The 16,026-nt window shown below is 45.0% G+C and overlaps 1 protein-coding gene across 7 annotated transcripts in view, besides 1 other annotated feature; it reads right to left on the bottom strand.

The window, feature by feature from the left end:
• The window catches only part of EIF4E2 (eukaryotic translation initiation factor 4E family member 2), a 32,956-nt gene that overhangs the window by 3,377 nt on the left and 13,553 nt on the right, over window positions 1–16,026 (bottom strand). For 3 of the 7 annotated variants that reach the window (NM_004846.4, NM_001330201.2, NM_001330202.2), the window contains 4 exons: window positions 15,917–16,021; window positions 13,287–13,439; window positions 13,054–13,190; window positions 11,058–11,323 (listed from right to left, as the gene is read on the bottom strand). In NM_004846.4, the coding sequence (NP_004837.1) occupies window positions 11,251–11,323; window positions 13,054–13,190; window positions 13,287–13,439; window positions 15,917–16,021 (468 nt within the window). In that variant the 3' untranslated portion in view covers window positions 11,058–11,250. Of the gene's footprint in view, window positions 1–5,926; window positions 6,006–11,057; window positions 11,324–13,053; window positions 13,191–13,286; window positions 13,440–15,916; window positions 16,022–16,026 lie in introns of those variants that run through there. The other 4 variants (NM_001282958.2, NM_001330203.2, NM_001276336.2 and 1 more) reach the window with 2 other exon arrangements.
• Window positions 11,171–12,370: an enhancer, noted in NCBI's record as "BRD4-independent group 4 enhancer chr2:233432608-233433807 (GRCh37/hg19 assembly coordinates)". NCBI's record gives its function as "activates an origin of replication core promoter dependent on BRD2, P300/CBP, MED14 and CDK7 cofactors, and independent of BRD4, by STARR-seq in HCT116 cells {active_cell/tissue: HCT116}" and the evidence as "EXISTENCE:reporter gene assay evidence [ECO:0000049][PMID:35650434]".

Here is a 16,026-nt window from a genome sequence, read left to right as displayed (position 1 = left end):
CCAACAAACCAACCAACCAAATAAGAATCCTCAGTTTAAAACTTAGAGCTGCTTACAGAAGGAAAGGATATTCCAGGAAGTAAAATCTGGGTACCTTTCACTTTACTTTAGAAACATGGCTCTAATTCTTGAAAGTGTGTGTGTGTGTGTGTGTGTGTGTGTGTGTGTGTGTGTGTGTGTGTGGTATGTATGTGGGGGATCCCAATATGTGTCCTCTTAGTTGCCTTTTATTGGATGCAGACAGGCTTGACCAGCCACTAGTGACTTTTCCTGTCCCACCCTAGAAATCTAATGACATCCTAGCAGGTCCTGTCACCATCTGAGTCTCAACATTTCAGGCTGGCAGGGACTTTAAGGCTGCTGCCCTTGCCCAGTGCTGTGGACTTCAATTTGTCAGAAAATTTTACCTGGATTCTGGAGTCATTATTTCTCTTTGATTTTAAAGGGACATTCTAGAAGCTCTGGCTTTAACTGACCTAGTATCTCACTATGTTGCCCAGGTTGGTCTTGAACTCTTGAGCTCAAGTGACCCTCCTGTCATGGTCTCCCAAAATGCTGGGATTACAAGCTCAGCCTGACCTATCTTAAAATTGTTATAATTAATGGGACATATGGCAATTGGTTCAGAGTAAATATGTGCTAAGGAAAGAATATGCTCAGCCCAGCCAAACAGCAGTTTCTTTCTGTTACTGGCTAACAGATCCTCCTCCATGATGGCGGTCAGCTGACAGTGACCAACAGCCCCCGACTACACAAAGAGAATGACTGCAGACAAGAACTGAGAAGAAAAACTGGAGCTGGTATAGGTGAACTCAGGCTGGGAATAAACTGATGTTATCTCAAAAGTCCACTGGTATTTTATAGCTGGCATGCATGACCATGTGGTTCATTTATCAATGGCTACTTAGCACTTCAACTATCTTCAACTAAAGAGCTGAAGGTTGAAAACAAAGTTAATAGGGTGGTCATCTTTTTAAAAGGCTAATGGTATTTTTAAAAAATTCTTTTCAAAAGGATAGACCCCTCTGAGATGCCACAAGTAGCTAGCAAAGGATAAGGAACATATCTGATCATAACACAGAGAAAAGCAAGCATAACTGGTGTGTGTGTGTGTGTGTGTGTGTGTGTGTGTGTGTGTGTGTGTATTTCTGAGTTCTCTTAGGGAAAATATGCTGTGTTACAGAGATGCATTACAAAAGACACTTTTTTTGTACCTACACTTAATACTAAAGAAAGTGATTTCACAGGAACAGATGGCTCTGTTCCATTTCTTCCCTTTTACAGGCACGTCTATGCCCACCTAATCATTGGACACCACAAGTCTATCAGGAGGGATTCTGCTCTTCTTATTAAAAGAAACTAGAAAGGCAGGGATATGGGAAGGTAGGAGCAGAGAATTTGCTGACTTGGGCAATTATCTATCTTGGAGTAAAGGAGATGGCAGGCAAGTGTCTGGCCCCAACTCTTTCAGCTGTTTAGTGACGGAAAAAGGATTTTCAGGGTAATCATTACCATAAGCAGGTCATCTTATCTTTTGGAAGAATTTCTCTATTGTACTAGGTGGGCCAGAAATAAATTCTTTCTCTGTAGCAGATAAACTGGAGAGCTCTAAAAACACTTTCTCATTCAGATTTTTTTTTTTTTTTGAGATGGAGTGTCACCAGGTTGTAGTGCAGTGGCACAATCTCAGCTCACTGCATCCTCCGCCTCCTGGGTTCAAGCGATTCTCCTGCCTCAGCCTCCCAAGTAGCTGGAACTACAGGCGTGCACCACCACGCCCAGCTAATTTTTGTATTTTTAGTAGAGACAGGGTTTCACCATGTTGGCCAGGATGGTCTCGATCTCTTGACCTCATGATCCGCCCACCTCAGACTCCCAAAGTGCTGGGATTACAGGCGTGAGCCACCGTGCCCAGCCTCATTCAGATACTTAATATTTTTGTTAATATAGACCACTTTATAGTCAGAAAACCTAAGAAATCATATTCTAAAGTCCACTTGCAAAGTGAAAAGGGGGAGGAGAAGAGTAAAGGAAAAGCCAGGAGAATCCAGCTGAGTTTTTCCAGTTTGATTTAAGAGGAAAACAGAACAGCAAATGGGGGTGGCCTGCTCCTGACAGTGACAGACTAACACAGGCTGGTGGCAGTGATGCCCTATGGCTTTGGTCCAGCCTTCTTTAAAAAAGTGGGTTGAGAACAGCTTGATGCCAAATTTGGTCTGAGGAATGTGTTCACCTCAAGCCAGCTGGGAAGTGATACTCCATCACATCCCTCACCCTAGGCTCAGCGCAGAGAGATTAGGAGGCAGAGAAAGGGAGAATGTAGAAAGGAAGGGGCAGAGGCCACAGGCGACCCCTTAAAAAACAATGTGCTTCTGTTCTTTTAAAAGCAAACTAAAATTTAGCAAATCCACAGTGAGTTCCTGAAAGCTAGCCCTCTAGCAATCTGGCAAAGCTGTGACAGCAAATGGGCTATGCTTAGGACACCAAAGAGGACACAGAAGCTGACAGTCCCACAATGCTGGAAGAAAAAAAAAGAATTATTTCTCTACCAGATGTTCCTTTGTCCTGATGATGTCTCAGAAATATCCGAGAGCCCCATTCAGACTGGCTTCCAACTTCACATTCCCAGGTATCTTGGGGAAAATCGTTGTCCAAATACTCTGAAACAGCTTTCCAATCTGCTCTACCTTAAAATGGTCATCTTTTAGTACTTTTAGAGAAATGGACAAGTTCCAACTCTGAAAACAATGAACTACGGCAGAGATTAACTCCTGAAAATGGATGACAGGGGGGCAAAGTGGTCATTCAGAATGTCCTCCCCTCTCTTGGGAGTTAACTGCCACTGTGCTGGTGCCTGGCAAAGGCACCTGAGTGATTCTGGGTTCTCAAGTGAAAGCTGGGAGTCATCCAAGGAGGAAGGCTACCTATGTCTCTGCTCTGAAGATTGGCTCTGAGGGGTCCCGTAGACCTAAGTGCACATGGTCTTCAGGAGAACATTCTTTGGCCATTAGCTGTACACCCCAGGCCAGTTCTGGCTTCCTCTTCTCTCCCTGCATATTCAGTAAAGCTGCAAACTCTTTCTAGTTTCAGTGAGGCAAATTCCAGTCTCTCGTCTTCAACTTTATTTTATTCCAACTTCATTTCCCAACAATACAGACTCACTGCTCTGTGTATACCAGCCTAGACAGCTGAGTAATCAGAATCCTTTCCTATCAGCTCACTGAGAGTTTTACTGAAGTCATAGTTAAAAGGGCAACACTTATTTCCAACAGGAGTCAAATGAAATTGTCCTAAAATACTAACAGTCACAGGTAATGACATAAAATAGCAGATAAATTGAGGAAAAATATTTGTGATTCATGAAGAATTATTTAAATAGCAGTTTCTCTGCCAAATTTCTTCATAGATCACAATCTATTTGGAGGAAAAAGAAAAGGGAGAGAGGGCTAAAATGTTAAGGGGCCTCTAAAATGGCAGACCCAACAAACGTAAGCCAGGGATGCATATCTTCTCGAACATCTCTTTCACTTACAGCGAGGTTAAATCAATAGAAATGCGACATGAAGTCCTTTTCAAGTCTATTAAGACAATGAAGTGAGTGGATTTTTTGTTGTTGCTGTGTAAATTCATTTTTCCCCCCTACTTTCAGAATAATTTTTGGTTTAAATTCAAACACTCTTCACGGACTTCCAAGCCTGTGCTTTAAGGAAAATACCTGAACCACGAGTGTTCTCTTCGTCTGCCTCCCACACTGTATAAAAAAAGACACGGGGGCCACAAAGAGACCACAAAATGGCAATTATGCAAATATATGACTTTTTACGGCAATTCAAAGATATTTTTCCTAGGGGATTAAATCTGCCAAGAGGGGTGGGAGTTATTTTGAGTTTTCTTCCATTCTGACTATTCCGCTTTCATTTTAAAGACTTTTCACTGAACCTCAGATGCCATCAATTTTTAAAGGTACATCATTTTATGTACTTTAAGAAGTAAACACTGCCCATTAAACTATGACAAAACCTTTTAAAATCACATTCACTGTAAGCATCCCCAGTTTTTTTTTTTGAGATGGAGTCTCGCTCTGTTGCCAGGCTGGAGTACAGTGGCATGATCTTGGCTCACTGCAACCTCCGCCTCCTGAGTTCAAGCGATTCTCCTGCCTCAGCCTCCCAAGTAGCTGGGACAACAGGTGTGTGCCACCACGCCCAGCTAATTTTTGTATTTTTAGTAGAGACGGGGTTTCACCATGTTGGCCAGGATGGTCTCGATCTCTTGACCTCGTGATCTGCCCGCCTTGGCCTCCCAAAGTGCTGGGATTACAGGCGTGAGCCACTGCGCCCAGCAAAGCACCCCAATTTTAAGAATATTAAAAGGCTTACAGAAGGAACAGGATTGAAAAAAAATATTAAAAGCCAAAAAAATCTTAGAAATAACTAAATATGGTAGTATTTTAAAAACAGCTCCATTATAGCACCTGGCTTCTGAAAATTTAACTTAATATCTTATTTCAAATATTTACTATTTTTTAGCCTAAAAATCAATGATTTATCTACTATTAAAGCTGGTACCTTTTTCCTCCCTCTTTGTGTATACTAGCAGCACTCCTGGAATTCTATGTTGACTATATATACAGACACTTATATATATGCACACATACACAGACATATATTTAGAAACAAGGGTCTTACTATATTGCCCAGGCTGGCCTTGAACTCCTGGGCTCAAGTGATCCTCCCACCACAGCCTCCAAGTAGCTGGGACAATAGGCGTGTGCCATGATACCAGGCACTAATGTTGACTATATCTTAAAGAGAATCATTTTAAATTTTAAGCCACCAGAAGACTGAATTTATAATAAAGAAATCAAACTATCAAAACAAAAAAGGTATGGGTGGCATCACTTGTGTGTGCAGGAACTCTGCAACTGTGTTTTATCTGTATATCATACCTACACCCCTGAGCTCTCAGGCCCTGGCCACCTGCTGCTGTCCCTCAGAGTGTCATCTTGTCTCTTCTAGCCCACGGGAGGGATGCAGGTCTCCTTTTCTGGAAAACGCTCGTCTCCTTCTAGGGAAGGGGGAATTTTGAGGTAGCTACTACAGTTGACATGTTCTGTTCCAATTTTACAACTACTCTATTTCTTAGGGATGTTAGTGGCAGGGGTAGTTTGATGTCCAGGAAAAGGCTGTCATCTCTAGCTCATGCAGACATTGGCCTTTCATCCATTCCTCTCATTCAGAATAAATTTACCCAGCTCCCTCTGCTACAGAGACAAACATGGACTTGATACTCTCTTAACTGAAATACAAATATTCCCAAAGTCAATGCTTTAGTTGGCCCAGTCTTTGTACCTCAGTGCCTCTCCCTACTAGTACAGTTGTGCTGGTCTAGTGAAAGTACAGCTTGGAACAACTGCTACTCACACAGTCCTGAAATCCAGCCCCGTTACTGACATTGCTGAAACGCTGAATTTATATTACTGTTTCCTCACAACTGACACATGACACCAGCAAACAGGAGACATACCTCTCATGTAACTCATGTTGGGGCCTGTGGAACTGCCCTTTTACTCACAGGACATTGCCAGATGGCTTAAAAATGGCCACATTTGAGCAAAAAGAAAAAGCATCTGTGGCACATTTACCATCATGAAATGTTAGCATCAAAAGAGATCTCAGAGACTTGTTCATCCATGGAGCCTCATTTTCCAGATGAGAAAATAGGGGCATAATAAGGTGACGTAGCCTGCTCAGGGGTTCACCAGGAGACATGGGACCCAGGGAGGATGAGAATCCAGTGGTTTGGGACTTATATTTTTCTCTGAGGCTCAATGTTGGTAGAGGCAAGTTTGGGGGTAAATGGGAAGAGGGGTCCTATGGATGAGAGGTATGTCACAGGGTTACAGAGAAGATAGACAAGGCCCTACCCTGAGTGTGAGAGACAGAGGGGGAGCGTCCGATCAGCGGCCGCTGCTGTTCACCAGGCCATGAAACTCCTCCCAGGCCCTGGCAAACCAGAGACAAAAAACACAATAGCACATTCAGATCAAAAGCTTTTGAACACAGAGAGCAGACACAATAACCCCACATCCCCCTTCAGATGCCCTCCAAGCCGAGTGGAGCCACAGGTACCTGGGAGCAGAGCAGCGAGGTCCCACTGGACTTTCCTTTCCGAGGAGCAGAGCAGCCTACCCTTTCAGGGCCAGCGGGCACTTCTGCTTGCTTCACTTGAGAAGTCTGCCCCTGTTCCCTCAAGGATTTGCACCAGTGTTCCTTCAACAAGGCTCCAGGGGAGGCCAGTAAGGTCAGAGCTGATGCTCAACTGTCACCAAAAACACTTCCAATTTACAGTGGCACTCCCTGTACTTTCTGCCTTGCCTATGTGTGCACAGGTGGTAGAAACAATTTTTCTTCATCAGGCCTCACTGAGGGTAAAGGCCAGTTTCCAACAGCATTATGATGTCTAAAGATGCAAGGAGGAAAGTATACACTTTCTCTGTTTTCATATTTCCGACCTTCTAACCCTTCTACACTCAGACCTTCAATGTGTCAGGTTCCACCTGTTTCTTAAGTGCTTATGTAACTACTATCTGAAAATTTAAAGTCACGGCAGTTCAAAATTTCCAGGGAACAATGCCCATTACAATTTTCATGCTGACTAGCTTAACTATGAAATTAGGGTTGGGAAGGGATAAGAAATGTGACAGAAGTGGTACGTGGCCTTTCGCTTACAGAGAAAAGACTCTTGGTGACTGCTGGACTAGTCACAGGAGAAAATCAGACCCCCTATGCTTCTGGAGGCTCAAACTCAAGTTTTCTCAGGGGAGCTGATTTCCTACCTAAGCCCTAGCCACTTTTCAGCCCCAAAATGAGGAGTTCCTTGGGAATTATATATAAAATATGGTGCTTCTAAGTCTGAAGTTCCTCATTATTGTTACTCCATTCTTGGTTTAATTTGGTGACACAGTACCCAGGGTGACAATACACTACATTTATGAGTTAACCATTTACCTCTTAGAGGAGGTAGACCTGCAGTTCATGGCTTCTTCAGAGAATTATTACCAAAGCTCCTAGTGTATGTGCTAACTAAATTAAGGAAAAATGTAAGAATGCCAAACAAGTGTGCCAGTCTTTGTCAATTCCCAAACTCAGTGTCCACAGCAAGACACCTGTTTCAGAGCTCTTTCTGGAAAGATGGTGATGTGATGTGCTTTGTGAATCCCTGAGTGACATCAGAAGGCAATTTGACTCTTTACTCCAAATGAAGACAAGGGCAAAGCAAAATCCAATGCTTTGGCAATGACCCAGGGAAACCCCTCACTGTAATGCTGAGATTTAAATTCCTTTTTAAACCACTTAGGTGTCAACAAGAAATTACATGGCTGTGTTGAAGCTTCATGTCATTTATCCTTTTATTTCCAGGAAGGGCCATCCTTACACTAGCCTACACCGAGCAGTTCTCTCTGTCAAGAACCTGAAGAAATATGGACTTCACAGCTCCCTCCTACTCCATTCCAGTATTACATTCCCCTCCCAGTTTCTTCATTAGTCTCTTCACTATATGTTAAACCTCAACATGAAGAACCTGGGTTAAGAAATTTCCTCACAGCCGGGCACCATGGCTCACGCCTGTAATCACTTCGGGAGGCTGAGGCAGGCGGAACACCTGAGTTCAGGAGTTCGAGACCAGCCTGGCAAACATGGTGAAACCCCGTCTCTACTAAAAATACAAAAAATTAGCCAAGCATGGTGGCGGGCACCTGTAATCCCAGCTACTCGGGAGGCTGAGGCAAGAGAATCGCTTGAACCCAGGAGGCAGAGGTTGCAGTGAGCAGAGATCGCGCCACTGCACTCCAGCCTGGGTGACAGAGTGAGACTCCATCTCAGAAAAACAAAACAAAACAAAACAAAAAAAGAAATTTCTTCACATGGAATCAGTGGAAATAAAATAGTGGGCCATAATCTTTGGTATAATCACTCTTATTCTCATAGGCCCACAGCTCGGCCAAGAGGCAAATCTACCACCTAAAACTAGGTGTGAATAGTCTAGCTATTTTCCATCTGGCATTCCAGGCATACTGGGTAATATTAAAACTTCCTTCTTTTAAAGGTAAAGAAAGAACAAGTTAAATGTAAGAAGTGTCATGACTGGAGTTTCTAAAAACAGAAAAAATTAATTAGAGGTTAATATAGGCAACAAGGAATTCTGAACAGATTCAAAAGACAGAGGAACAAAGAGCTCTTTTAAGACCACTCTTGGCCCATCTCACGTACCAGAAAGCAAATCCTGTGCAATTCTACACTTCCCCCTACCTCTACCCAAAGGCTGCAAGGTTCATAGCCTTGCGCTCACTGCTCTCTATACTTAGGGAGGGGCTCAGCCTCCTGCTAATCTGGGCTCTCTTCGCTTTGCCTACCAGTTCGGTGGTACATATCACAGATGCAAAGCCAGGCCAGCAATTAAGCTGGGGTAACCTGGTGCTACTGGACTATGATTTAGCCATGCCAGGAGAAGGGAATGGGTTGGTCCTTGCCTATAAAAGTTCAGTGTTGAAATACAATGATATCTAGATGTGGGAAAGCCTCCACAATTTGACCTGTCTCTTCTCTGAGATAAAGGAATAAAGAGAATCACCCACCCTCCACTCCTGCAGAGAAGCCGGGCCAGTCTTTCCCAGTGCTGTAGCCCACTATGGGAATTTGGCCTGTTTTCCTTTTCCATTCCAGGCTAGATGCACAAAAGGAATCAGTGGGACTAATCCAAAGAGGAGTTTCTTCACAAAAGACATTGCTGTTTCATATGGCTCCGAGCCCAGTTTTATCCTGGTAGCCCCACGATTCTGACTGTATTATGAGATTTCTCCTCAAAGCAGAGAATATGGGGAACCCACATCTATGAAAACTCGACTACAAGTTGGCCTCATTAAAAGGAGCTATGACCTGAGCAAGAACTCAGTTTAACAAGTTGTCCACGTCTTAGGGGTGAATGAACTGTCAGCAATAAACAAGAGCAGGAGCCCTCTGCAGCACAGCAGCTCATCACCCGCCTGCTCTGTGCGGCAGGCAGTGCCTTGTAGCACACTGAGGGGAACAGCAGGAAAAGGCCACAAGCAGTGTGACTGGGGAAAGGCTGGAAAAACCCAACGGTTGAAGAAGGACATTGGGAACTGGGCCAAAAATAGCAAGCAGGAATCAGGAACACCTGACTGAAAAATCTAAGCTACTCTTAAAAAACTCCCCTCACCACCAGCAGCCCTATCTCCAGAGTACTCGGAGGAAAACAAATGTTGGCTCCTTCTTCCTTCATTTTCCTTGGAATTCTTTGTTTTTTGAGATGGAGTTTTGCTCTTGTTGCTCAGGCTGGAGTGCAGTGGTGCAATCTCAGCCCCCTGCAACCTCCACCTCCTGGGTTCAAGCAATTCTCCTGCCTCAGCCTCCCCGAGCAGCTGAGATTATAGGCACCTGCCACTATGCCCGGCTAATTTTGTATTTTTGGTAGAGATGGGGTTTCACCATGTTGGCCAGGCTGGTCTCCTGACCTTGTGATCTGCCCACCTCGAGCTCCCAAAGTGCTAGGATTACAGGCGTGAGCCACCTCGCCCGGCCTCCTTGGAATTCTTAAGTCTCAGTAGCAGCTGTTCCTTGGCTCAAACCAAGTCATATCCATGGAAGAGCCACAAGGAATAGAAGAAAGCAGAAATAGTTCTGACTTTTGTTCATATTGACAAGGATCAGAAGGGTCTCAAGGTCAGTTTGGTGCTTCTAATCAACTCTTACTCTGGGAGGTGACATCAAGCCTATCCCCTGGAGCAGTTACAATACAGCTGAAATTAAAGTTAATGTATGTAACAATTTTTGAAGGCAAGAGGGAAAGAGCCAGAGAAGGTAATTCTTTGACAAATACTAAAAACGTAGAGAATGGGCCTTTCCATATTCCAGCAAATCTCTCATTTTATAGGTACTTCAACCAATTTTGGATATGTAATAAACAAAGATGCAATGACACAAACACCCCTAGAATACTGAGCCCACAGTGCTAATCCTAATAGGTGTTATGCAGGATCTTGGGCCACATGGAGATCAGAGGTAAGTCAGGATGGTACAAGCACAGGGTATCACTGCCAAAGTGGAACAGCCACTCTGGAAAACTCAACCTTAAGTCCACAGACACTTTCACAGATCCTCTCAGGCAGGCTGACCCAGTGTTTGCAAAAAAATGATTGTTTATTATGTTTTTGGTGGTAGCTCCTAAGAAAACCTAAAGTAGCATGAGGCTTGCTGAAACTCTACATGCAGGTTAGGGGCCTAAAGGCCAAGCTGCAGCACATACAAGCCAAAGCCACAAAGCACACAAGGGGTCCGTACGTGCTACGGTCAGATATCCTACAGAGCAAACTCACACGGGATGAAGACGTTTCCCCTACCCCAGATCCTGATGTGCAGTAACACCGGGCCCAGGAGAAAGGGAAGGGCTGTAACCCTGAGATCTTGCAAGCAGGGCTGACTCAAAGAGGAAGATGACCTGGCTCTAAAGGGAAAGCAGAAGGGAGAAGGCTGGAAAAGAGCTGTGGCTTGGGCAGCTTTGGCACCAGCGAGAAAACCCCATTAGCACAAAGCAAGGAAGCTATATACACACAGCCACACAGACAGAAGCAGGGATTTACCTCCAAGCAAGAGATTTCTTTGAAGTAAAGGCGAATGGAAGTCAGCGAAGCAAAGGCCAAGGATCCCCCTTTCCAACCTGAACAGACTTTCAAGCTGAATTCTATATCAGAAATCACTCTGTTCTGGTCATCGGTGTGACTAGATGGGAACTCAAATTTAAGTACCAGAAAATGGGGTCTTATTTTCTAAGCTAGATGTCACCTTATTATGTCAGGCCTCAGCAGTCCTGGAACAAAATACCACATGACACTACACAATGGGCTTATGGAAATGAGGCTGCATTCCCCGGATGGCCCTCCATGGAAAAGTCTGTGCCATCCCTTAATATGGTGACAGTCAGTCCGAAAGGCCACATCTTTGATGCACCATAAAGAGCAAGAGCATGAGACAAGCTAGTTTAGCACCATTTATTAAGTGATCTCAGCTGTTGTTGTAGCTGCTGCGTGTCAGCCTGTTCTTAAAACATAAAATGCTCTTCCAATTCCTCTTGTCCAGGACAGAAGGATCTTCCAGGTAGCACGCCAACAGAACAAGAGACTCCGATGACGCCAGCTTCAATGATGGTGCCATCCAGAGAGGGAGAGGGTCATGGCACATTCAACCGCGGCTTCCAGAGGTTTTGAAAAAGGAGCCTTTGGGGGCCCAGCCTGCCTGGCATTCTAGTGGAAGTGCAAAAGGTTGGCTCATTGGGAGAGGAAAGAGAGGGGGACGCAAGGGAAAGTAGCATCTGGGTCTCAAAGAGGGTTGGTCTTCTGGTCTCTACAGCTACAGGGCTGAAGTCCCAGAGGCAGACCTCTGGATAAAGCAGAGAGCAGCAGGCCAGTCTTTCTAGCAGACTAAGGCAAAAAGCCCACAGGCTCTCCTAAACTCTGTAAGGACGTGTACATATGTTTCTGTAAAAGTCACGAAGAACTGCCTTATGGTATTAGAAAGGGAGAAGAGCAGAGAAGGGGAGAATTGATGAAAAATACCTCTTTCCCTCTCCTATCCAGGTAAAAAGCTTATTTTGGGGGTAAGTGGGAGTAGGGGATATTCAGAAACCTTGAAAACGAGAATCCTAGAAACAGGTGTAGATCTCTCCAGCCTGGACTGAACGTGGCTAGAAGTCAGAAACTACTTCTATCCCAGAATAGAGAATAAGAAAAATGTGCCCAGAGTAAAGCAATGCTAACACAGGACTGCTAAGGCAAGCAACCACAGCCATGGCTGGCTAATAACTGTTCGTGACTATGATGAGTCATGCCAGCCGTTTGATCATGGACCAACGCCCATAGCAGTGTTCCCACTTAAAAACTGGCACTTAGCTGGTTTAAGCCAACTCCACTCCACATTATCTATGAATGCATGGGAAAGAGATTCCCAAATGGTCTGTCTGCTGAACATAATTGCTGGGCTCACTACTAGCCTTCAATAATAACAACATGATGATATTCTTACTAATGATGATGATGATGATAGCAATACTACTACTTGGCCCCGTAAAAGCATTCTCCATCTGAAGACCCTCAGTTAAAGATTAAATCAGCCTCACAATAGCCTTGTTAGATAAAGTACTGTCTCCCACTTTACAGATGGAGAAACTGAAGCAAAGTTGCAAAGACACTTGTCAAAGGCACATATTGGTATGGGGCCATATGAGAGAACTAAACCTAAGAGTCCTAACTCTTAGCTGGCTAGCTCTCCCTCCAGCTTTGAGACAATCTGACAGCCACTCCCCACACTTTTTCACAATAGCCTGAGCTTACTTCTGACACTCAATCACTGAGGAGCAAGCCTAACAGTGATTCTCACTGTGGACAGAGAGCTCTATTTCCCTGAGTCCTAGGGAGATTGCCAAGCTTATTTTCCCTGTGGCCTTCATGCTTCCCTTTGATTCTGCTCTCTCACACACACACTATCCCCCTTCTTCTAAGAGTCAGCTCTATACACAAGGAAATGGAGTCATTCCTGATAAGTAGTCAGTATCCCAGGACAAAGAAAATAGACTGAAGCTAACAAGTTAAAAAGACATGCAGAAGTGGGGTGAGGGTGGGCAGGGTGAAATTATCTTAAAAAACAGCAAGAAAAAGAAAAGCACTTGTCTTTCATTTTAAGATAGTGGTTAGCATATGAAAGACAAGACAGCCTGTAGAAATTAAGCAAGCCCAGGTAGTACAACTGGGTTTCTGCAGATGGGCTCTCTCTGCTACAAAGCACCTGGTAGTATAGGTGGCAGGGAGCCTCGCTGACAAAGAACTGCAGCAAGTAGCCAGAAGCCCTAGAGGGAAGGCCTGGTCTGTCCCTTCTCCACAAGTAAGTCTCCTGTCCGGCCATATTCCTCTGGGCCCAACTACAGATCTACTTATACTAAGCTTAGGGACACGTCCTCCCATAACCCCCCAACACGTACTTGATGCTGTCGGTGTGAGTTTTGTATTCCATAATGGTGTTGGGAGGTAGGTTAAGCACTCGCCGAAGTGTGTCCCGGATTCGGGCTGTGGTTGCTTGGTCACTGGCAGTCTTATTCCATATTGAAATAATGTCTTCCTACCAGAGGAACAGAAGGAATCATCAAAGCAAATCAGGGGCAGCGAGGAGAGCAAAGGCAACACAAGAAACCAGCCTGGCTCATGGGTGGCTTACCTGAAAGCGGACAGACACCACAGCCCCACAGATCTCCTCCCCAACCATGAACTGTTCCCCCAGCATGGCCAAAATGAGATTCTCCCAGCAACGGGAGGCCAAGCCCTTCCGCAGCCGAATAATCCACTTGCCACCATTTTTATTTGCATCATCCTGTAAAAAGACAGAAAGCACTGAAGTTAAAATATGGTTTCACAGCCTTTTTTTGTATGAAGGCAGTAAAAAGCCAAGAATCTCTTAAACACTAAGAAGTCATATCACTTTCCAATTATTCAACTCTATAGAAAAACTGATGGTAGGACTAGGGAGAGAAGAAATGGGGAAAAAAAGAAAAACAAGGCTGGGATCCTTGGCATAAGCCATTTATTAAAATGGCTAAACAGACCTTTTAAAAATAATCCCCTTTACTGGAAATACTTTAGGAATCAAAACGAAATGATGTCATATTTCAAGCACAGATCATCCGTTTACTTGCTAAAAGTACTGAATGTCTGCTGGGCGCAGTGGCTCACGCCCGTAATCCCAACACTTTGGAAGGCTGAGGTGGGCGAATCACGAGGTGAGGAGATCGAGACCATCCTGGCTGACACGGTGAAACCGCGTCTCTACTAAAAATACAAAAACAAAATTAGCCGGGCATGGTGGTGGGCGCCTGTAGTCCCAGCTACTCGGGAGGCTGAGGCGGGAGAATGGCGTGAACTCGGGAGGCAGAGCTTGCAGGGAGCCGAGATCGTGCCACTGCACTCCCGCCTGGGAAACACAGCAAGACTCCGTCTCAAAAAACAAAACAAAACAAAACAACAACGACGACAAAAAAAAGTACTGACTGTCACTACATACCAAGTACACAGACATGAAGCCCCAATCTAGTTTTTTTTTTTTTCTTTTTTGCGATGGAGTCTCCCGCTGTCACCCAGTCTGGAGTGCAGTGGTGCGATATCGGCTCACTGCCACTTCTGCCTCTTGGGTTCAAGCGATTCTCCTGTCTCTGCCTCCTGGGTAGCTGGGACTACAGGCACATGCCACCACACCCGGCTAATTATTGTATTTTTAGTAGAGACAGGGTTTCACCATATTGGCCAGGCTGGTCTCGAACCCTTGACCTCGTGATCTGTCTGCCTCGGATTCCCAAAGTGCTGGGATTACAGGAGTGAGCCACTGCGCCTGGCTGAAGCCCCAATCTCTACTCAGATCCAGTCCAGTAGAAGAGACAGCCAAGGATATTAATTACAGCAATGATACTATAATTATAAGTGCTGCTGTTAACAGATATGCACACTATGTTAAGGAAGAACAAGATAGTTGGAAACAGTCAAGAAGTGGGTCTTTTTTTTTCTTTTCTTTTTTTGAGATGGAGTCTCGCTCTGTCACCCAGGCTGGAGTGCAGTGGCACAATCTTGGCTCAGTGCAACCTCCACCTCCTGGGTTCAAGTGAGTCTCCTGTCTCAGCCTCCCGAGTAGCTGGGATTACAGGCGCGTGCCACCACACCTGGCTAATTTTTGTATTTTTAGTAGAGACGGGGTTTCACCATGTTGGCCAGGCTGGCCTCAAACTCCTGACCTCAGGTGATCTGTCCACCTCGACCTCCCAAAGTGCTGGGATTACAGGCATGGGCCACCATGCCCTGCCAAGAAGTGGGTCTTAAGGTCAACGGGAGTGAGTCAGGAAAAGCAGCTGAAGGGCACTGCGGGCACTGGGAAGAACATGTCTGTGCATAAACTGACAGGAGGGTCCACCTGCAGGGAAGGGAAGATTTAGAGATGATGGGAGATGAGGCTTGAAAGGTAAATGAGGTGCAAGATCATGTGAGCAATGAGGAGCTGTATAAGATGGGTGGCGTGGATGTGACCACATTTGTCTTCTCGAAAAATGCCATGGCACCAGAATAGAAGATGCACTACACCAGGGCGCAGCCGAATACTGGCTCTGCAAAGTTCTAGGTCTCCAGTTCCTGCCTTTAAACTTATTTTCTTACCCACTTTAATCATATGTGTACTATGTAAAAATATTACACACACGCACAAACAAGTTCTATAAGGATAAAGGTAACTGAAAACAAAAATCCTTTAATGTTCTAATACCATTTTAGTCATAAAACAGTCTTTAAAAAACACCCAGCACCAACCCACACAGACAAAAAATGGCATCAGTGCATTTCTCTAGAGGCTCGGGTTCCAAGGATATACTGGAGAGTGATGCAGTTTTGAGAGACTTTAAAACACTTTTAACCAGCTGGGCACGGTGGCTCACGCCTGTAATCCCAGCATTTTGGGAGTCCAAGGCGGGCGGATCACGAGGTCAGGAGATCGAGACCATCCTGGCTAACACGGTGAAACTCCGTCTCTACTAAAAAACACAAAAAATTAGCCGGGCGCGGTGGTGGGCGCCTGTAGTCCCAGCTACTAGGGAGGCTGAGGCAAGAGAATGGCGTGAACCTGGGAGGCGGAGCTTGCAGTGAGCCGAGATCGCGCCACTGCGCTCAGCCTGGGTGACAGAGCGACACTCCGTCTCAAATAAAATAAAATAAAATAAAATAAAATAAAATACTTTTAACCTTGGCAGGGCTAAGAGACAAAACAAAAAAACCCAAACTTGCTCAAAAAAGCAGTCAGAAGCCATTAGTCCTTACCTCCCACATGGGTTTAATTCCTTCTTTGAAGAGATGGAAGTCACTGTGGCCTGTCAGGTCCCCAGGACGTACCATGTGGCTATAAAACCTCCAGAACTGCTCCACCTGCA

Source organism: Homo sapiens, chromosome 2 (assembly GCF_000001405.40).
Source record: "Homo sapiens chromosome 2, GRCh38.p14 Primary Assembly".
In the NCBI taxonomy this organism is placed as follows: Eukaryota; Metazoa; Chordata; class Mammalia; order Primates; family Hominidae; genus Homo; species Homo sapiens.
Note: the sequence above shows the minus strand (reverse complement) of the source record. Positions and strands in the feature narration are given on the sequence as shown.